The sequence below is a fragment of the Homo sapiens genome, chromosome 2 (genome assembly GCF_000001405.40).
Source record: "Homo sapiens chromosome 2, GRCh38.p14 Primary Assembly".
Taxonomy (NCBI): domain Eukaryota; kingdom Metazoa; phylum Chordata; class Mammalia; order Primates; family Hominidae; genus Homo; species Homo sapiens.
In genome coordinates, this window is record NC_000002.12 from 97,763,149 (window position 1) to 97,783,681 (window position 20,533).

The window sequence follows — 20,533 nt, forward strand, 5'->3', positions numbered from 1 at the left end:
CTCACTGCCACATTGCAGCCGCTCTGCCTGCTGCCTCTTGCTTCCCTGGTCACACCCTGTAGCACAAGCTGCTTCTCCCCTACCCCCAGGGCTCAGGGCTCAAGGTTTCCCATGTCTTGGCTAGGTCAAGCCTCCAGCATGGCCCTGCCGAGCAAAGCAGCCTTCCCTTGGAAGCCCGTGCTCTCCACTCCGCCATCCTCAGGGCTGCCTGCTACCTTCTCTCTCACCTTCCCCAGTGCTGCTGGTACTGGTGCCAGACTCACGGTCCTGTCTCCCACCCGCCCACTCTCACCCCTTGATGACATGGGCCCCTCCTCGCTGGTTCTGTGGATCTGCTGACCTGATGCCCACACTCAGGACGTGTCTCACACCGCTCTCCCATACGAGCCCTGCTCGAATCTTTGTCCCCATCAAGCTCCTCTGAGGCCTCCCATCTGACACCACGTCTACACTGTCGGCTTGCTATTTGTACAACTGTCCTGACCCTTCCCTAGCCACTTCCTCTGGCCTCGCTCCGCCCCTGCAGTGACTCGTCCCCTCAGGCAGTGCCCACACTTGGAGCAGGCTGTGCTCCGTTTTGTGTGCGCTCGATCCTCCCGAGGTGCCTGTCCTGGGGAAAGGTGCGGGCAGCTCCTGTGGGTGGAATGTGTTTCACAGGGCCCAGAACTACAGATGCTCCCAAGACAGTGATGATGAAATGAAACAGGAAAAGCAAAGGGAAGTTAGCAAAAGCCCCTACTGAACAGTGCTTGAGGTAGGAGTGAAGGGGAGACTCTGAACAGTACACGAGCTGCAATTAGAGAACGTTTTGATTCAAATATTATTAAAATTTTCCTTTGTGGCTTCTGATTTGCTTTTCCTTTTAATAACCCTTTGTATTTTTTGCCTTTTTAAATCATGAAATTATTCAAGGAGCATTTTCTCTGCAACTCATGTGGTACAGATGGTATAGGGCACCATGCTAAGGGGTGCTACTTGGGATGGAGAGATCTTTACACAGAGGCTGCACAACTCCCCCAGCGGCTACTGCCACATGCTGGCTGCACAGTCTTGGGTGGGACCAACGCTTTCACCCCAAGGAACTGCACTAAGCTTGGCACTGCCAACAGCGCTCGCAGAACTTCAGGTCTAAGCAAGACGAAACACCAAGGGAGGCGAAGGGATAAAAGGGGATGAGAAAGCTGGGGCAGAGCAGGAAGGTAAAAGTGATGGAGAGCATGTGGGACCGACTCTTCTGGGTTTCCTCCACCCATATTCTCTATCGAGTGGAGCTCTGCTGGAACATTTTAGTAACGCTGGCAGTGAGGGCAGAGAGGTCACAGGGCTTGGAACCAGTGTAAGGGACTGCTTGGCTAGAAAAACACAAAAGGACTGCACAGACGTGGGCTGAGGAGACAAGCTCTGCATCTCTTCCCCCAGTGCCCACCGTGGAGCTCTGCCCTGAGGCGCCATGCTCAGATGCACCAGCTGGCCTCTGTGGAAGAGCCAGGCAGGAAACTGAGGCATGCGGCACTGGGCCCTTCACAGTTCCTCCTCCAGAGGGCTGGCCTGCCATTTCCCACATTCCTGCCCCGAGGAGTGGCACCAAAATCTCCTGTCTGGGGTTGGGTCCTGTCATCCTTTCCCCTCCACACAGAAGGAGTGATGTCAACATGTGGCTCAGGTGCCACCAGGTGGGGATGCTGCCAGCCAGTTTGTGGCTGTGTCTGGCTGTCACCTGCTCTCCCGGCAGCATGGTTCTGCATGCTTGTGTCATTACGTCACCAACACGGCTCATGTCACCTCACTGGGCCTCAGAACACCCCTGTGAAACTGGCTCCAGGGGCTGTGTTCTGTTGCTGAAAGTGGCATCTGTTTAATGGGGAACTGCCTAAATCGTGGAGTGTTAAGCCAAGAGCCAATGGCCAGCAGAAACCTCAGGGGGCGCTAGGAAGCAGAAGCATCCCACCTGGACACACGGACCACCCACGGTCTTCTTCAAGATTTGCTGAGTGAAGGATTTAGGATTGTATCCCACCCCTGGCAAAAAGTAGTACTAAAAGGTGCCAGAAAGTCTCATGGCAAATAGGGCTACAGGATGTATCTCAGAGAGCATCTCTTTCCAGGATGTATCTACACATTCCGGCGAGAGCGTGGACGCCCTACCCGAGCCTCCAAGGCTCTCTGCCCTCATTCAGCCCAGTGAGCCTGCCCTTCGTCCAACTCCTTTCACCTTCAATGACCCGACTGTTGCTCAAACCTGACTGCATCTCTGGTCTTCCTGACTTGCCCTCTGGTACACTCCAACACAGTGGTGAGTGCGGACCAATCAGTCCTAAAGCCAGGACCTCTCTTGATCTCAAATCCCTGCTGTCAGCTGCTCCCTTTTCTGGTCTCTGTTGCCCCCTATTTCAGGTCAAGTGTCTGTAGGGTGAGGATTTCTATTTTGGTTGACTGTGCCTACTGTCTTGATTTACTGCAGGCCAAACTGGAGAAACAAGGTCAAGGTAGTGAGAAAAATAATGAAACCTTTGTGTAGGTTGCTCATGTAAAAAGATGTGGGTAAAGTTGAGAGGATGGAATTCTTACAAAAACAATTACACTATAAATGAGGAACTCATCAGGTAAAGGATAGCTAAGTCAATACTTGTATAAGGCAAACAATTCTTTAGAAGATTAACCACTCCAAACAGACCATTCCATTTTGCACATTGGGCAGTGGTGTGCTAGTATACCAGCTCCCTGAAAAAAAAAAAGCCCTGATGTGAATTGTTGAATGAGTCCCCTGATGTAAATAATCTTACCAGGACTGATTTCAACCTACGGCAGTTTAGCCACTGATTAGGCTAGTTAACAATGGGCTCTTAGCTGGCAAAGCACTGTCAATGGGTATTTTAAAGCAACATGCCCCTGAAGAGTTCCATGCCCAGAGTGGGGTGGATTGTGGGTAAGTGGAGCCCTGTGGTTTCTAAACTACTATACTTACAGCTGCCAGGTTTGTGAACTGGAACGGAATCCCACTCCGGTGGAGGAGAGTCTTTTTCACCCTCTGAGCTACTGGTGTTGCCTAATTCTTGACTATTCGGGAGGAATTTTGCTAGGGCAGGTGGTCTGTTATCCACTAACTTACTTGTACCTGCACAAAAATCAGAAAAGAACATGGTTAATGGAGAATCATTCCTTTCTTTCAGGTCTATTTCAATGAACCTTCTAATGAGGACAAGAACACAGCCTTAGCCTTGCATGACTAATAACTACTGACTGCTTACTGATAATGCACAACAATTGTTAATACGGTGCACTATGAAAAGATCCGTAAGACATGATCATAGAGAACAAGATGACAATACCTTTTGTTTTCTGGGCATTTCGTGATTTGGATCCACTTGTCATTGCAGTTGGAAGAGGAATCTTGCTTGGGAGATTTCTACGTTGCTTACTTTCCAAAGGGGGAGTATATGGTAGTTCTAATGAACTGAAAGACAATCAGGGATGGAAAATACAAATTTATTCCTCTGTTTTGGAGGACAGAAGTCATTAAGATTGTAATTCTTCTACAATACAACTGCATGCAGGAAGCTAATGTGGCTTCCTGGGGCGTTATCTACCCTTGGTCCTAACTCAGGACTGGCTGCATGCCCAACGCTGTAGCTAAGACTGCCCAGCAGACATTCAGCACTTGCAGACTGAACCTTTGCTATTCCAAGTGCTGACAATGAACTGAGGTCCATTATTTAATAATACGTAACGTGAGGGAGGATCTATCTCAGATAAGGCATAGAAAGAAAGCCCTTAGCTCCAACTTGCTGCTCAGGGCTGGAAGTGCGGTCATTCTGCCTGTGAGTCTCTCCCAGCATCTAGACCACCACCAGTGGGATTCCTGAACATGAAGATTTTGAAAGATCTCACATCTATAACATTAGAGACTCCACTATTCAAAACTGAACAAATTTTTCTCATAGAAATTATGAGGTGACCCAGAGCTAAGTTCCTGGTTACTACAGGGAGTGGGCTAGGATGAATTTTCTTCCTTATTCTTGAACTCAGGGTTAATCTTAAGCAAAAAAATTAAATATATTTTTTATTGATTTATTTAGAGTGACGCTTTCTGAAAGATATTGAGGTAAGCTTAAGATAATAAGCATGTATAAATATATCTTAAGTTTCCAAAGCTCAATAAGTGAGGTAGGAAAACCTGCTGGGAGACAGCAGCTGGAAAGAATGAATCTCTGAGAGAAATGAACTGGGTAGCTGGCCCATGGAAGACAGCATTGTGAGTAGAATACCTATATGGGCTACAAAGGCATTCTTTATGAAGCCACATCTCTAATGCCCACCAAGACCATGTCTGGGACTGGGAGGACCTCCGGAAGGAGCTCAGCTAATGTGGTCCAAGAAGGACCTTTTCCAGCAAAGGCTGAGATGCAGCTCAGAGAGCCCAGTGGCCCCTTTGGAGAAATCTTCCAAGAATCCTCAGGGATCTCTACAGAGCTCCTGGTGACAGCTGTCAGTTCAGGGCTGAGCTGATGGCTAGCTTTTCATTCCAAATCTACAAAGTCTACACAGATGGTGTAAAATGGATGCATCGCCGGCATTTTCCACATTTCAGTGTGCTTTCTGCTCCCAACCCTCAAGTGTGTGATACTACTCAGGACTCCCGGCCCCATCCTCCAAGTTCTTCACGCACCATGTTGCCTTCTGTCCTCCCAGCCCACAGGATACAGTACATTTCAGCTAGGTTCTGGGTCAGAGGCAATCTGCTGTGCTCATTCACAGGAGATTTCAAAGGTGAGAAGAGTTCCAACTTTCCCGATCTAACGGCACCATAACACCCTCATTCCCCAACATCCTCAATGTAAAGTGTGAGCTCATAAATAAACAAATACATTTAAGAAGGCTATTTACAAACATTTTATAAGGTGGTAGGGTCAAAGGACATTTTCTTTTGTTTCGTTGTATTTCACAAGTAGGTATTATATAATAATAAGTAGGTATTATATCTGGAATTAGTAAGAGAGCAAACCAAAAAGCCAAAGGGTTTCCGTTAGCCCAAATAACTAGAATTTTAGGTAGGATAACAAACTGAAGTGAAAAATCCACTGTTTATGGGCCAGATGATGAATGCTACATTATAAAATCTTTTGTATCTCTTCTACTTCTGACTGACAGGGTTATTTAAAAAACCCATCTTCTAAAAAAACCCCAAAGGCTCCCATAGTAGACACCAGCCCTCTGGTGGTGGAGGTGGTGTGGGTGTGATCTATTTTTAAGTGTGCGTGGGTAGCTATTTATACAAAACTAAATTCTGTGCCACTGTAAAAGTAATTGGTTTTTAAGAAGAAAGGTGCCAGACAACTCCTGTTATTTTTGCTGATTCATACTTTCCTAAATTAAGCCAGATGATCTCTATCAAGAATCCTTTTTTAAGGCTTCTGAATAAAATGGGTAACGGCCAACTTAATTGAAGCGATTCATTTTTTTGAGACAGAGTCTCACTCTGTCACCCAGGCTGGAGTGCAGTGGCACGATCTTGGCTCACTGTAACCTCTGCCTCCCAGGCTCAAGCAATTCTCCTGCCTCAGCCTCCTGAGTAGCTGGGATTACAGGTGTGTGCCACCATGCTTGGTTAATTTTTGTATTTTTAACAGAGATGGGGTTTCACGATGTTGGTGAGGCTGGTCTCGAAGTCCTGACCTCCGGTGATCTGCCGTCCTTGGCCTCCCAAAGTGCTGGGATTACAGTGGGATTACAGGTGTGAGCCACCGTGCCCAGACTGAAGTGATTCTTTTTAAAAAGGAAAAACAGGTGGTTCAGATGCCAGGCTTTATTTATTTATTTACTGACAGGGTCTCAGTCTGTTGCTCAGGCTAGAGTGCAGTGGTGCAATCACGGCTCTCTGCAGTCTCTAACTCCTGGGCTCAACTCCTGAGTCTCTAACTCCTGGGCTCTATGCAGTCTCTAACTCCTGCCTCAGCCTCCCTAGTAGTTGGGACTACAGGTGTGTGCCATCACACCTGGCTAATTTAAAAGAAAAACTTTTTGTAAGATAAGGTCTTGCTATATTTTCCAGGCTGATCTTGAACTCCTGGGCTCAAGCAATCCTCCTGCCTTGACCTCCCAAAGTGCTGGGATTATAGATGTGAGCTACCACACCTGGCTTATTTTTATAATATATTTTCCTCCATTTTTTAATAATAATGTTTTTCTTTTTCTTAATATTCTGAGATTTCGTATTCTTTTTATTTTTGCTTTTCACAACGTTACACCTGACTCAAGCCTGGCCTATTTTTATTCCTGTAATACACAGTACACATTTCTGTCTGGGGAGGAGAGAGGCAGAGCTGAGGACACAGCTAGGGACATGACCAGCTGTGGAGCAGGGTTTTCTGAGTGCTGACAGGTCTGGGGCTGGCGTGTGCAGTGTGGTGTTCACAGCCCTTGGGCCTGAGTTGAGAGTGTTATTTAAGCAGATTTTTACAGATAATATGATTAATCTACTTCTTTTGCTTATTTTAGATTATTACATTTATGTAAACATATACTGTTGATAAACAAATAGAAAAACAAAAGGATCAGTGAATACTCAGGGTCCTAAACCAGGGATGCCCTGGGCCCTTCCTGGTTCTGCAGAAACCTTCAGTGCCTGAGATCTGATTCCCATTCCTTGGCATCTCTGCCATAGACTACAGTTTTCCGGAGGTCTGCAGGCCCATTTCTATGTTGCCACAGCTGGAAAACACGGTTAGATCAGATTTCTGTTGCTGCAGCCCCACCCTCCTATTTCCTAGCAAGTGATTTTTTTGAGGTCAACTCTTGGGAGTGTGGATGGATGGGGCTGAGCCACTCCTCTGGCTTTATCACCTCTCACAAAGCTTCCGAAAGACAGCAATGATATATGCCTTATTAATGACATATCTTATTAAAAGATGTGTACCTGTCCTTCAGACATGTGGGGTTATATATTAACACACTAAAAGGTGACAGGAATTTCAGGAATCACTAAAGCTAGTACTGGCTGTGATTCTGAGTGACAGTGTTTGACATTTATTATCAGAATGCAGTGGAGTCACAGAATGGCTCTGTTCAGAAAGCCAACCTTCTCCGGTTATTAAAAAAACCAGTCTTTATTTGATTAAATGATTGATGAACTAATAAATTCTGACTCAATACTTTCATCCTCGAGTTCAGAAAAACAAGAGATCAGTGAGTTTAAAGAGATCAGATAAAGGAGGATAGAAGAAAGGTTGCATATAGATTTCTCCAGTTACAAAAGACAGTTTCAAGCACACGGCTTGATTTGTGTTCTGGTAATGATTTATCTTTTAACTACATATTGAGAGAGCACCGGTTATTGCTATAACTGCCCCTTGACTAGGCGGTTCAGGACTGACCACTCTAAGCTTTTTGGTTTACAAGAGAACTAAAAACCCTTGCAAAGGTAATGACACTCAAGCGACGTCTTTGACTAACTTTTCAAATGCAAATTTGCTGATGGTCAACTTGTAAAAAAAATCAGAATACAATGTAAGTCAGTGGAACAGGGATGGGGGTTAGGATTAGTGTGTTCTATCTGCTTAACAATACTAAGCTCAGGCCTGAGGGCTAATCAACAGGGCCAATTTGGTGACAGTCACCTATGGAATGGTACCTCTAAGATAATTCTTAGATGCACTGGTTTTAAAATTTATCATCATAGGAATTACTGCATGTCTGTCTACCTCACAAGATTTCTGCAAATGTAAAAATGAGGATTTTCATTATTTGGACTTATTAGCCTCATTTACTTTAAAATATCTGATCACTCACCTAAGCCTGAAAAAGGCCAAGAAGAAGAATCTCTAGCTAGTAGCCCAGTGTTATTCCTGTCCTGGGTGCCAGGATATTGGTGTCTCAGGTGGATTTCTCTCAGGAGAGATCCAAGTATGTGAACCTCCTCTTCAGAAGAGGTGGTCTCCTTTTCTCTCTCCCCTTCAAATGATCAACCACCTGATACCACTCTGCTTGACGTTCCTTCTACCTGGGCCAGACTGCTCTCAACAAATTGTGGGACCTGGTCACTTGAACTAACAATTGCCACAAAAGAGTAAATTTTAGGTACAAATACTTCATTACTAAGCACCACCATATACTGTATTATTTCATAAATTCAGGGACAAGGTTAAATTTTACTGCAGTTATCACTAATTTCTTACTAGCTTTTGGGTTCTATAGAACAGGACTGGCCCTGCCTGAAGCCATATAATCTAGGGACAGAGTCTAGGTTAGTGGTGTTTTTGCAAAACTCAAGTATGATTCCCAGGATCAGAGTAAGAATAGACCTTCCACAAATCTATGGCCCACACTTATGATGACAGACAAGCCATGTCTTCCTTTTAAATTTACACCTAATTTATTCGACTTCCTCTGTCACTTTCTACTGATCACAACCCACAAGCGGGTAGACAGCAGCTCCCGTGCTGATGACAGTTCTATACAATGAACCAGGAAAGGTATTACTGATGCACCAACACTAAAATTATCAGGTAGATGCTGAGCCAAGGTTTAATGAAAATGTGAAGTAACTTCAGTTAATAACCCAACAGTTCAACTCACTCATCTCCCTGGGGAAACAGCCTGCACAAGCCCTCCCCGGGGGCCACTGAATCCCATTCCATGGGGAGGAACTGGAGTTATTTAATGGTAGAACCGTCTGACTGGTGACACCTGCTCTGAACCATTTTTAAGGTAAGAATAAACTTTTCCAAGTTTTATGGCATGGAACTCTAGATCCCAACTGGGTTAACAATTCGACAGACTCAGAGATCTTTTGGAGGAAAGTTATGCTTGTACCTGTGGTTCAATCGTCAAGGTCATCTTTGTGCAGAAGTAAAATGGATCTCAGCCTGGGACTGAATCACCAACAGAAATTTTCCTCCTAAATTTTTATAACAGATCGTGAGCTCTGCCCTCTGCATATCTGACTTGAGAAGCATATGGCTATTCCGAGTCAACAACAGTACATATCAGGTGACAGAAAAATCCCAAGAGGAATGTGACGTAGCACCTGGATTTTGCTATCAACTCCCCTAAAAGCCAACCAGCCAGCCAAATGGCCAAATCAAAACAGCACCTGGTTTTCGCCAGCAACTTCTTTATAGACCTTATTTCTCTGTACACTTATTTCTCTCACCTGGGTTTCACATCTGTTGGGATTTCTTTCTTAATATTTAAGAGTTTTTTGCTTTTTTGCTTCACTTGAGACATTTCACTTTCATGTTTTTCAGGCATGGCTTGTTTTCCCTTTTGCTTTTCTGTATCCTGTAAAAAATGGACACTTAATTGCTGAGAAGGATTAATAAAATGACTGAAATTAGTTCCATTTTAAGATACAGACACAAAATCAAAGATGTAAAAATATACACATCATATACGTAAAAACAAACTCGTTTCTTCAAATCTGTCTTCACTGCGGTTCTGTCAATTTTTTGGCCTTCTTTAATTTGTCTCAGCTGTGTGCGGTGGCGCATGCCTGTAATCCCAGCACTCTGGGAAGCCGAGGCAGGTGGATTGCCTGAGCTCAGAAGTTCAAGACTAGTCTGGGCAACATGGTAAAACCCTGTCTCTACTAAAAATACAAAAAACTAGCTGGGCGTGGTGGCGCATGCCTGTAATCCCAGCTACTTGGGAGGCTGAGGCATGAGAATCGCTTGAACTGGGGAGGCAGGGGTTGCAGTGAGCTGAGATCATGCCACTAAACTCAGCCTGGGCGACAGAGCGAGACGCCATCTCAAAAAATAAAGTAAAATTTGTCTCGACTACGTTTTGGTGAGTTGGAGTTATAAAGAACGTCATTTTAATTTATACTCATATCCTGACTGGAGATGGTGGTGGCAGTGGCAGTAGCAAATTGGTAGCTTCTTTTCAAGCACTGGGGAGTAAAACACTGTATTTCCTTAAAAGAAAAGTTCAGTAGAGACTGCAGTATAAAGTCAAGCACTCCAGCCATGCACCCCATCCTGAGCACAACTCTCAGGACAAGAGAGCAGTGCGGCAGCCAAAGGGGCCATGCTCGCCTGCCTGCGATTGCGGCAGGGTTCCGGCTGGTTTAATGCTAAGCTAACAGCTGCTCCATCAATGGGAGGGGCTGTTTGTCCAGTTCATCCACACACATTTACGGGTCACCCGCTTGGTGCCAGGCCATAGGATTACCAAGAGGGCCCAGTTTCTCCTCCTAAGGATGGTGAAGTCTAGCAGGAGGGAGACACACGACAGACGCCAGCATGGACCTCTGCTGGGGGAATGTTACTGGCCACTGCAGCAGCACAGAAGGGCTGTCCTGCCCGCTAAAATGTGGAATCTGGAGTGGGCGGCCACATCCAAGACGCATCTTAAAGCTGTGCTACCCAGCTGGCCCAGCCAGGACCAGGAAAGTACAGAACCTGCCCCACGGATTTCTGTGGCAATCTGACTTCATTGCAGCATCTGAGTGTGAGATCAGTGGACCTGTCTCCCCAACAGGGTACACATCTACTCATGTATTATGTGTGGTTTTTTTTTTTTTGAGACAAGGTACTCACTCTGTCACCCCTGGGCTCAAGTGATCCTCTCACCTCAGCCTCCTGAGTAGCTAGGACTACAGGCACATGCCACCACACCCAGCTAATTCTTGTATTTTTTTGTAGAAATGGGGTTTCACCATGTTGCCCAGGCTGCACTCAGGTATTGCTGAACTCGCCTGGGGAGCTGCATGTGGAGTGGGCTGTGTACTAAAAGCAACCTGGTTCTTTGCCCCAGACAATCTGTGAAATACTGTGTTTACGGAAGCACTGGCAGGGACAGATGGGGAAGGACGTACTCAGCAAAGGGGACAGTGATGGCTGTGGAGGGGAGCTATAGGCATGTGGTGAATTAGCATCTACCCAAGAGCTTTAAAATTTATGATTATGAAGACAGCCTGGATTTTAATAGGTCACACCAGGTGAATCTATTTAACTGTCAAGAGTAAATAACCAGAGCTAGGGCTAAAACATCTCCCTGGCTCACATATCGTTTGAAACTACTTTGAGTTATTCATGAAGTCTTTCTTGAATACTTGACCCATCAGGTATCTTGTAAACCATGAGCTTTTCGAGGACAAGGATGTGGCCTTTTGTCCACTGTTGTTGCCTACGCACCTAGCACGTGGCCTGGCACGTGGGTGCTCAATTCCTATGTGTTGACTGAATGGGTAGAACAGAATTGGAGAAGACATGCAAGAGAAAATGACCTATCAAAGTTGTGATTTAGCTGGGAAGAAAATACACATTAACTGACAAACTGAGATCAGTTGCAGAGAAATAAAAGCACACGGCCTCTATGCAGATTGCTGAGCAGGAGGAATAACTCGTTGGAGGGGACAGGGTAGTAACCAGACAAGGAGGCCTCATGAAGGATGTGAGTTCTGAGCTGCACAAATAGCACGGAAGAAGCTGGGAACACAGGAGGGAATGAACAGGGAGCTAAGAATGACATCAGTGGGTGAGCACAGAACACTGGCCACTGGGGGCCGCTGGAGAGGGGGCCACAGTGGTGTGAGCAGGAAGAGGCTGGCAGGTGGGAAGGGAAGTGGGAGAAAGTCGTGCAGAAAATGCCTTCCGAACGCTGATGCACAGGGTTTAAACTGCTGGGATTTTACTCAAAGTTTAGCACAGGGCTTTCTGTTTCTCTGAAGTAATTTGTTAAAGTGCTATAAACTACAGAGCTCCAGAACTATTTAGGAGTTGGGCTAGGGGTAGATGGAGGACCACGGTAACGGTGAGGGAATGCAAAGGGAAAGGTGGCTAACTTGAAAGTAAGTTACATATACATTTCATTTTAAACATTTTAATGCATGTGAATGACACTGCTGGAAATCTGTAAGAAGTGATTCCTTGGTCAATAGACTAAAACTAAAAAAGAAAGTCTGTTCTACAACATTAAAGGCTATATTAGGATCAGTTTAGATTTGAAATCCATTTATCTAAAAATAAAAGCGCCAGAGTGGAATTATTACCCTTTCTTGCACACCCCATACTACTCACAGCAGTAATCTGACCCCGTCACTAAGGCCCACTGGACCCGACACTTTGCACTGCTCTTCCTGCTGTGATAACAGCCCTGGGAGCCGAGGCCTCCAACGGGCGAGGCAGCTTCTTGGCGTGCTGATGTGTCCTGGGCTGGGCTCCTCGTCCCTGGGGGCCACTAAAGCCTGGGGTCTTTCCTGGGGCCACACTCCCTCCAGGGCGGTCACCACTCTACTGCTTGGGAGTAAGCGGCCACCAAAACCCCGCTTCCAGCAGGTGCTAGGAGCAACATGACAGGAAAAACACAACCTAATTAAAATGGTAGAGTTCCTTCTCATTCTTTTGATCCTTAAAATCTGAAAGAAGTTTCATGAGGTAGAATAGTTACTATTCCAGATAGTCCCTAGCTTTCAAGCAGTGTTTCCAGTTTCTAACCATCTTACTTTAGTAACATGCTTCCAGCTGTTCTTCCCTGGAGGACATGGAGCCATTCATCCCCACAGCTGTGACTGTTGTCTGCAGGGGAATGACTCTGGAGGCACGCCCAGCACAGGAACCATTCCTCAGTAGGTGCTCATCCTAGATTTAAACATTACTTTTGTACTAAAACCAGAATCTATGAGATGGAAGGTCTTGTGAGCTGCAGGAGACCTCTCTTTCTCCCTCGTGTTTTGTTGTGTGAGATCAGCCCGTACCTCCTTGAGGAGCGGTTCTGTGTCAGGGTTGGAGGTCTCTGTGGTGGTGGAGGAGCTATCATCATCAGCCAAAGAGTCCTTCAGCTCATCTTCCTGTGGCTTTCCCTTTCCCTTCTTCTCCTTTTCCTCTTGCTTCTTAGGTGGTTTCACCTTGCGCTGAAGAGGTTTTCCTTTCCCTGAGGATAAAAATTAAAGTAAAAGAACTCTTGTTTTTGTTTCTTTTTTTTTTGAGATGGAGTCTTGCTCTGTCACCCAGGCTGGAGTGCAGTGGCGAGATCTTGGCTCACTGCAAGCTCCGCCTCCCGGGTTCACACCATTCTCCTGCCTCAGCCTCCTGAGTAGCTGGGACTACAGGCGCCCGCCACCATGCCCAGCTAATTTTTTGTATTTTTTAGTAGAGACGGGGTTTCGTCGTGTTAGCCAGGATGGTCTCAATCTCCTGACCTCGTGATCTGCCTGCCTCGGGCCTCCCAAAGTGCTGGGATTACAGGCGTGAGCCACCATGCCTGGCCAGAACTCCTGATTTTTAAATAGCTAGCTTGGAAAACAAAGCAATTACAACTTTTGTTGGAAGAGGCTGGACTCTTCTGATTAAAAAAGGTTTCTTTTTTTCTTCTCTAATTAAAGCTTTCCAAATCCATTTGACTTTGTGATGAGAACAATTTTAAAAATCAACTTTACTGAGATACAACTTATATATAATAGAACACACCCATTTTAAGGGTACAGTTCAGTGAGTTTGGACAAACTCGGCAGTTTTGACAAATCTGTATGTCTGTCTCAGAATGTTCTTATATTCTCCAAAGGGTGATAGAGCTTTGAAAAGTTACAGAAGTGAAAACCAGAGATCCTCTGACATCTGCTGGGAGATGGAAGCCTGATGGTGACATAAACAACGAGCCACTCAAGTGCTTCCCTTTAGGGGCGCTAAGAGTCCCAGCAGTGTAGCCATAATGGCTGGGTGCAAACCCTGGCAGCTTTCTACAAACTAGCTGCCTGATCATGGCCTCTCATCTGTAAGATGGAGACACAAGACCACACAGGGCTGTACTGAGGAATTACATAATCCCTGGGAATGGTAACTGGTGCATGAGTACTATGTAATGTTGTGTATATATATGGACAGAGAGTAAAATGGACATACGGAAAGCCAACTACTTGGAAAAATCTGGATGCTATCAAGACAAATGAGAACCAGCCCCGAACATATTTCCCAGCAGTGTTCTGTGTGCTGGGAACATAGTAGCAAACAACAAGCAAGCTCCTGCCCTCATGGAGCTTACAATCCAGCAGGACTAGACAGAGGCAGAGAAAGCCCCAGGTTCTAGCACCTCAGATTGTGCCTGCAAAATCACCTGGGCGGGCAGGCAGGTGCAAGCTGCAGAAGACACACAAGCCACATTTTAACCCAGTCTGTACGGGTCATAATTTCTAATACATCTTTTCGATAATGGTGACTTAATACAACTTAATTAAAACTCCAATGTTTTAGGCGTTATCCCAGAGAATGCCACCATTAATGGGAGACTCGAACCTCAGTGTTTAAAACGGGTTGGCAAACTATGGCCCATGGGCCAAATCTGGCCTGCAGTCTGTTTTTTATGGCTTGTGAGCTAAGAATGATTTTTACATTTTTGAAGTGGTCGAAAAAAAGACACAAATAAGAAGAGGCAACAGAGATAGTCTGTGGCCCATAAAGCCTCAAACATTTACTACCTGGCCCTTTACAGAAAAAGTCTGCTGAGCCTGAGCTAGAAAAAGAGTAAGTAAATCGCTTAGTGATTTCCAGGAATGTCATTTCATCATTTATTGCACACTGATTACAAGAAGTGTTAGATCTGAAACCATAACTTGGATAGTAAGTCTCAAAAATTGAAGGGGCATCTCGTTTCAAGCATAGGACTGACTAGTTTGTTTAATTATAATCGTGCCACTGTGCCCCAGCTTGGACAACAGAGCAAGACCCTGCCTCAAAAAACCAAACCAAGCCAAACCAAGCCAAACCAAACCAAACCAAACCAACAAAAAACAGGCCCCTGACCTACATCGAAGAGCCAGAGCTTCTCCCCATCATGGTAGACAGGAAGGGGAGTGTCCTGCTTTGCTCCATGAGCTCTGGGATTTCTTACATTCTGAGAGTTCAACAGCCCAGGCTGAGAATACTTCAAAATTTCCCATACAGTCAAGATCAGTTCCCCATATAATAAACTTCTCACCTGCAATTATACAATTTTATCATGCTTAGGTTCATTGGGTGAGGGGCAGTAAATCTGTATAAATAATCTATATTTACAATAACCTGAAACTTCCATAATAAATATGAAATGGCTGGAAATGAATTTTCAAAAACTAAACTCAAAAAGTGAAGCTATGAGTAGACAAAAAATACCTAACATAACAATAGTTAAGTTGAAAACTTCAGTAACAAAAGATTAATTCGGCTCAGGCCTGTAATCCCAGCACTTTGGGAGGCCGAGGAGGGCGGATCACTTGAGGTCAGGAGTTTGAGACCAGCCTGGCCAATATGATGAAACCTCATCTCTACTAAAAATATAAAAATTAGCTGGGCATGGTGGCATGTGCCTGTAATCCCAGTTACTTGGGAGGCTGAGGCAGGAGAATCGCTTGAACTCAGGAGGTGGAGGTTGCAGTGGGCTGAGATCGTGCCACTGCACTCCAGCCTGGGTGACAGAGCAAGACTTCATCTCAAAAAAAAAAAAAAATTATTGCATGGAAGAGTAATTTACCCTTTTTATCTTAAAATCATCACCTTATTAACTCAATATGCAGTCCTTCGACTTCTGTCCCTAGCACCTTAACAAAAGTGATTTTGGAAAGGCTGACAAGAATCTCTAACCTGTTGAAGCCCATGATGCCTATCATTCCTCATTCTACATGACCTTCCCGTTCCACTGGACACTGTAGAATGTAGCTCCTGCCAGGCCCCACCATGAACCCCTTCTTCTGACAACTTCTTTGCTGACTCTATCTTTGCTGGTATTCCCTAGAGATCTGCCCTTGGAGCTTTTTCTCTTTTTCCTTTACATTCTCCCTAGGGCTCAATTTCATTAACATCAACAATCCAAGTCCCAAATGTCCAAAACTGAGTTAACTATCCCAAAAACATCGTGTGGATTCTCAAGTTTGTGATTATGGTTCTTAACCAGACACACTTCAGAATAACACATGGAATGTTAAAAAGAAAATACTGCAGTCTGGGCCCGACCCCTCAGGGTCTAGGCCCCACCCCTCAGAGAGATTCTGACTCAACAGTTCTGGATAGAACCTAGGGATTCTACTGTGCACCCAGGCTGAGAGCCACTGGTCCATGGTATCAACATCAATCCAACCACCCAGGCTAGGAGCTACTTCAGGGCCATGTATGATTTCTTCTGCTGTTTGGATACCCAAAAGTTCAAATGTTAGTGGGAGGGGAGACAATGTGCCTTCCCTAACCTGACTGATAATACTGGATGCCTTCCCTAACCTGACTGATAAGACTGGATGGCCGACGTCTAGCTGCAGGCAGTCTCTGTCCCCACAGGGAGTGGCCTCTGCCTCCCGCTTGCCCCTGGGTGGGCTGAAGCAGTAAGCTGACTCTCAGGGCAAGCGTGTTCCTAAGGGTCTTGTCTCTTCCTTAGGGCTGGGTTCCAGTAGAAAAACTGGCCTTCAGAGAAAGGAGAGACTCTTCCAAATCTTTTGTTAGGTCAGTAGTTCTCAAAGTGTCCCCTGTTGCCCCAGAGTCCGCATCACCTGGGACCTTGTTAGAAATGCAAATTCTATGGCCCCATTCCAGACCTACAGAACCAGAACTCTGCGGGTAGGCACAGCAATCTATTTAACAAGACCTCCAGGTGACAGTAATAATGTATGGTCAATTTAGGAATCCCAGGGCTGGGCGCAGCAGTGGCCTGTAATCCCCAAAGGTTTGGGAAGCCAAAGCAGGAGGATCACTTGAGGCCAGGTGTTCCAGACCAGCCTGGGTAAAATAGTGAGACTTCATCTCTACAAAAAATTTTAAAATAAAACTAGCTGGGTGTGGTGGCACACACCTGTAGTTCTAGCTACTCAGAAGGCTGAGGCAGGAGGATCTCTTGAGCCCAGGAGTTTGAGGTTATAGTGAGTTATGATTGCACCACTGCACTCCATCCTGGGTTACAGAGTGAGACCTTTTCTCCAAAAAAACAAAAACAAAACAAACAAAAAACAAACAAACAAAAAAAAACAAAAACAAAAACAAAAGAATACCCTGGCTTTTAGGTATAAATTCTATCCAGGTTTATCAGAGACCTGTGTTGGGGAATTGCTGGCAAAAATGCAGGGCCTCATTTCCTATTTCTCTGTCCCCTGGGAATCTCTGGTGGATAGGTGCTGTCATTCAGAACAGAATTGGGGGAATTCTGAGTCACCTGGAAGAAATGATCTAAACAATGCAATTTTACCATCAATCAATCGGTAGGAATGGATTCTACTTCTAAAACCTCAAATGCCTTTCTCATGCACCTCCACTGCCACTCCCTGAGCCCAGGGCTTCCTCAAGTGTTGCCTGGCCACCCGTAATGGCCTTGTCTCCCTGATGAGCATCTCTTCCTGCCCCACTCTCCCACCCCACTCCGTTTTCTACACTGTCAGTAGCCCTGACTTCCCTTTGAAACATTTTTAAAGCTTAGAAATGTTATCCTGTCACTCATTTTCTACAGGATAAAGTTCAAATTTGGATTCACCTACCTTACCAGTGTCTGCTCCAGCCTATCCCTAACTCTTCCATATGCTCCACCCTTGACCTATCAGGGGCAATCATTGTATAACATATATAATTATTATTTGCCAATTAAAAAAACAGAATTCAGAGGGAGACTGTCCTCTCAAAGATGAATTAATGAACTCAATGAACAGTGGGGAAGGCAGGATGTCTCCCAGCTGTACGGGAACCACAACTTAACTGGTGCATAATCAGTAATAAAAATTAACCCATCTAAATAAAGATGGTACAAGCTGAATGGAGAAGCGGTTTAGAAAAACTCGGAAGTGTGTTTCCCTTGAAGTGACCAAGTGAGAAATATGCCCAAGGTGAACCTGGTGGCAGAGAAGGAATCTTGGTAGAGCAGCCAGGTTCGTCGGGTTCACACCACTGCCCGGATGAAGCATCCCTGAGGCTGGTCACCCTGCTTGCCTGCTCCCACGATCTCCACACAGACTCCTCACCTACTGAGGTCATGCAATCATTCGGGTCTGTCTCTGGACATGAAGCTCTTCTGCGACATTCTCCCTGAGATTGCCCCTTTCCAGGCTCCCGGCATGGACCCCCTTGGCTCTATTCGTCATACAGCCTAAGCACCTAAGGGCAGGGATAAGGCCTTACTGATCTCTCCAGCCCCAGTGCCTTGCACAGCGCCCAGCACGTGGCAAGTGCTCAGCAGCATCTGCCAGGCTGCACAAGTCAGTGTTTAGCCTTCTCAACAGTGAAATATACCAATGCTGTGACCTGCTCTGAGACTCACTAACCCAAGTCCAAATGCTTATCCCATCTCAATCCTTTATAAGTAATTTATCCTATCAATAAGTAGACTGTAATGCTCTTCTAGGATTAGTGGTTATGACCAATGAGTTTGGTTTTTGTGAGATTAGTACCAATCTGTGGCTTTACAGTGAAAATTTCTACAAATGACTTTCTGATCCCATTTCAGTCTCTACACTTAGTGGAGCCCAAGATTTTCCCTAATTGGGAAATATAAATCTCATTTAAACAAACAAACAAAACACCTGGAGACTTACACTTTTGGGAAGATGGAGTAGATCTTTTCCTTATTCTTCCTGCCAAGCAAAACTAAAAACTCTAGGCAGTATACAAAAACAAAGAAGATGACTCTGAAAGGCAGAGAAGGTGACAGACTGGAGGGAGACTGGGGTCTGAGGAAAGGCATGATAGTAAGATTCCTGGGTTTTCTTTTTGCCACACACATCCACTCAGAAACACCAATGTGCACAAATAAAGCCTCGACAAAAGCCAGCTATCTCTTGCCAAAGGTGCAGGAAAGGGGCAGCCCAGCAAGACAAAGGCTCCAGGCCAACACCACGGTAAGAACTGGGGTGCCATATCCACCCATGCCAACAAAGGCCAAAGTGGGAGCCAAGACTTCCACCCTTGCAAGGCTGTAACCAGACATCCCAGCATGCTGGCGATGGTGCTATCAGGGAGGGCTAAGCAGGGAGCTGAGCCTTTCATTCCAGACAGTCAGTAATGAACGCCCTTCCTGGCCAGGCACTAAGGAGCCAACTCTCCCCTCCCTTTGCCACTGAGGTGGTGACAGAGGAGGCCGAGTGGACAGTCAGGACTTCTACCACTGCCCAGTGGTGTCAGCAAAGACAACATGGGAACCAGAACTCCCAGCCCTACCCAGCAGTAATGAGGAGCCTCCCTGCCCTTGCGAGTCAACAGAGGACAGCAGGAAACCAGCACTTCTAACTCCACCTGGCAATAAAAAGGTGGCACAACCCCTTCCTCTGCCTCTGCCAGAGCAGTCAGAGAAAGCCAGTTAAAACAGAAGGTTTAGGTAAGATCCAGTCTCAGAACATTAATACCCAAATGGTCCAGGTTTCAATCTACAGCCACTCTTCATACCAAGAATCAGAAATTTCTCAAATCAAATGAAAACACAAACAAAACAATAAACAGATGCCAACACCAAGATGAGAGAGATGTTGAAATTACCTGACAAAGCCATCATAAAAATGCTTGTTCAATGAGCAATTATGAACATGCTTGAAACAACTGAAAAAACAGCCACAGCAAAGAAATAGAAGCTAAAGAAGAACAAAATGGAAATGTCAGAACTGAAAAATATAGTAACTGAAATAAAAAGCTCACTGCATGGGCTCAATAGCAGAACAGAGGAGACAGGAAATAATCAGTAAACAAATACAGACAATTAGGAATTATGAGAGAAAATGGACTAAAAAAAAAGAACAGAGCTTCAGGGACCCGTGTAATTATAACAAAAGATCTGACATTTGTGTTATCAAAGTCTCAGAAGGAAAGGAGAAAAAGGAAGGGCTGAAGAAGTACCTAAAGAAACAATGGGTAAAAACTTCCTAAATTTGGTGAGACTAAACCTATATAGACTTAAAAAAAAAAAAAAGAGCAAACCTCAAAAAGGGTAAACAGAAACGAATCCACATCAAGATGCATTATAATCAAACTTGTGAAAACTAAAGACAAAAAAACCTTGAAATCAGCCAGAGAAAATGACACATTATCTATAAGGAAAATACAATTAGAATGACAGATTTCTCATTAGAAACCACGGAGGCTAAAAGGAAGCATTTTTCAAGTACTCAAAGAAAACAAGTGTCATTCCAGAATCCTATACTCAAATGAAAATATCCTTCAGGAATATTCAGACATTCTCAGATGAAACAAAACTCAGAGAATTCATATCCAACAGACCTACCCTAAAAAAATGGCTGAAGGAAGTTACCAAAACAGAAAGGAAATGATAAAAGAAGGAACCTTGGAGGATTAGGAAAAAAATATAAATAAAACAAGATTTCCTTCATATCTTAAGTCTTCTAAATTATGTTTGATGACTGATGCAAAAATTCAAACATTATCTGATTTGGTTCTAAATGTATGTAGAGGAAATATTTAAGACAACTGGGGGAAAGCAAAGAAACATAAAGGGAGATAAGGTTTCTATAGTTCACTTGCAATGGTAAAATGATGACCCCAGGACCATGAGAAGTTATGTACATATAATGTATACCTAGAGCAACCACTAAAAAAGAGATACACTAAAAAATGCTACAGACAAAACAGAATTCTAAAAAATATACAAGTAA

The 20,533-nt window shown here is 44.8% G+C and overlaps 1 protein-coding gene and 1 long non-coding RNA gene across 9 annotated transcripts in view, besides 3 other annotated features; both read right to left on the reverse strand.

The window, feature by feature from the left end:
- The window catches only part of TMEM131 (transmembrane protein 131), a 239,613-nt gene that overhangs the window by 6,813 nt on the left and 212,267 nt on the right, over positions 1-20,533 (reverse strand). For all 8 annotated transcript variants that reach the window (XM_047443844.1, XM_047443843.1, NM_015348.2 and 5 more), the window contains 4 exons: positions 12,695-12,870; positions 9,149-9,276; positions 3,330-3,454; positions 2,966-3,115 (listed from right to left, as the gene is read on the reverse strand). In XM_047443844.1, the coding sequence (XP_047299800.1) occupies positions 2,966-3,115; positions 3,330-3,454; positions 9,149-9,276; positions 12,695-12,870 (579 nt within the window). The remainder of the gene's footprint in view (positions 1-2,965; positions 3,116-3,329; positions 3,455-9,148; positions 9,277-12,694; positions 12,871-20,533) is intronic.
- Positions 292-1,073: an enhancer, noted in NCBI's record as "H3K4me1 hESC enhancer chr2:98379903-98380684 (GRCh37/hg19 assembly coordinates)". NCBI's record gives its function as "activates a minimal SCP1, AML or CMV promoter by ChIP-STARR-seq in primed H9 embryonic stem cells {active_cell/tissue: H9 hESC(primed)}" and the evidence as "EXISTENCE:reporter gene assay evidence [ECO:0000049][PMID:30033119]".
- Positions 6,966-7,479: an enhancer, noted in NCBI's record as "OCT4-NANOG hESC enhancer chr2:98386577-98387090 (GRCh37/hg19 assembly coordinates)". NCBI's record gives its function as "activates a minimal SCP1, AML or CMV promoter by ChIP-STARR-seq in naive H9 embryonic stem cells {active_cell/tissue: H9 hESC(naive)}" and the evidence as "EXISTENCE:reporter gene assay evidence [ECO:0000049][PMID:30033119]".
- Positions 7,480-7,992: an enhancer, noted in NCBI's record as "OCT4-NANOG hESC enhancer chr2:98387091-98387603 (GRCh37/hg19 assembly coordinates)". NCBI's record gives its function as "activates a minimal SCP1, AML or CMV promoter by ChIP-STARR-seq in naive H9 embryonic stem cells {active_cell/tissue: H9 hESC(naive)}" and the evidence as "EXISTENCE:reporter gene assay evidence [ECO:0000049][PMID:30033119]".
- On the reverse strand, positions 11,805-12,518 carry LOC124907861 (uncharacterized). The gene is made up of 2 exons (XR_007087147.1): positions 12,443-12,518; positions 11,805-12,278 (listed from the first exon to the last, which is right to left on the reverse strand). It is a non-coding gene; the product is annotated as an uncharacterized LOC124907861 (long non-coding RNA).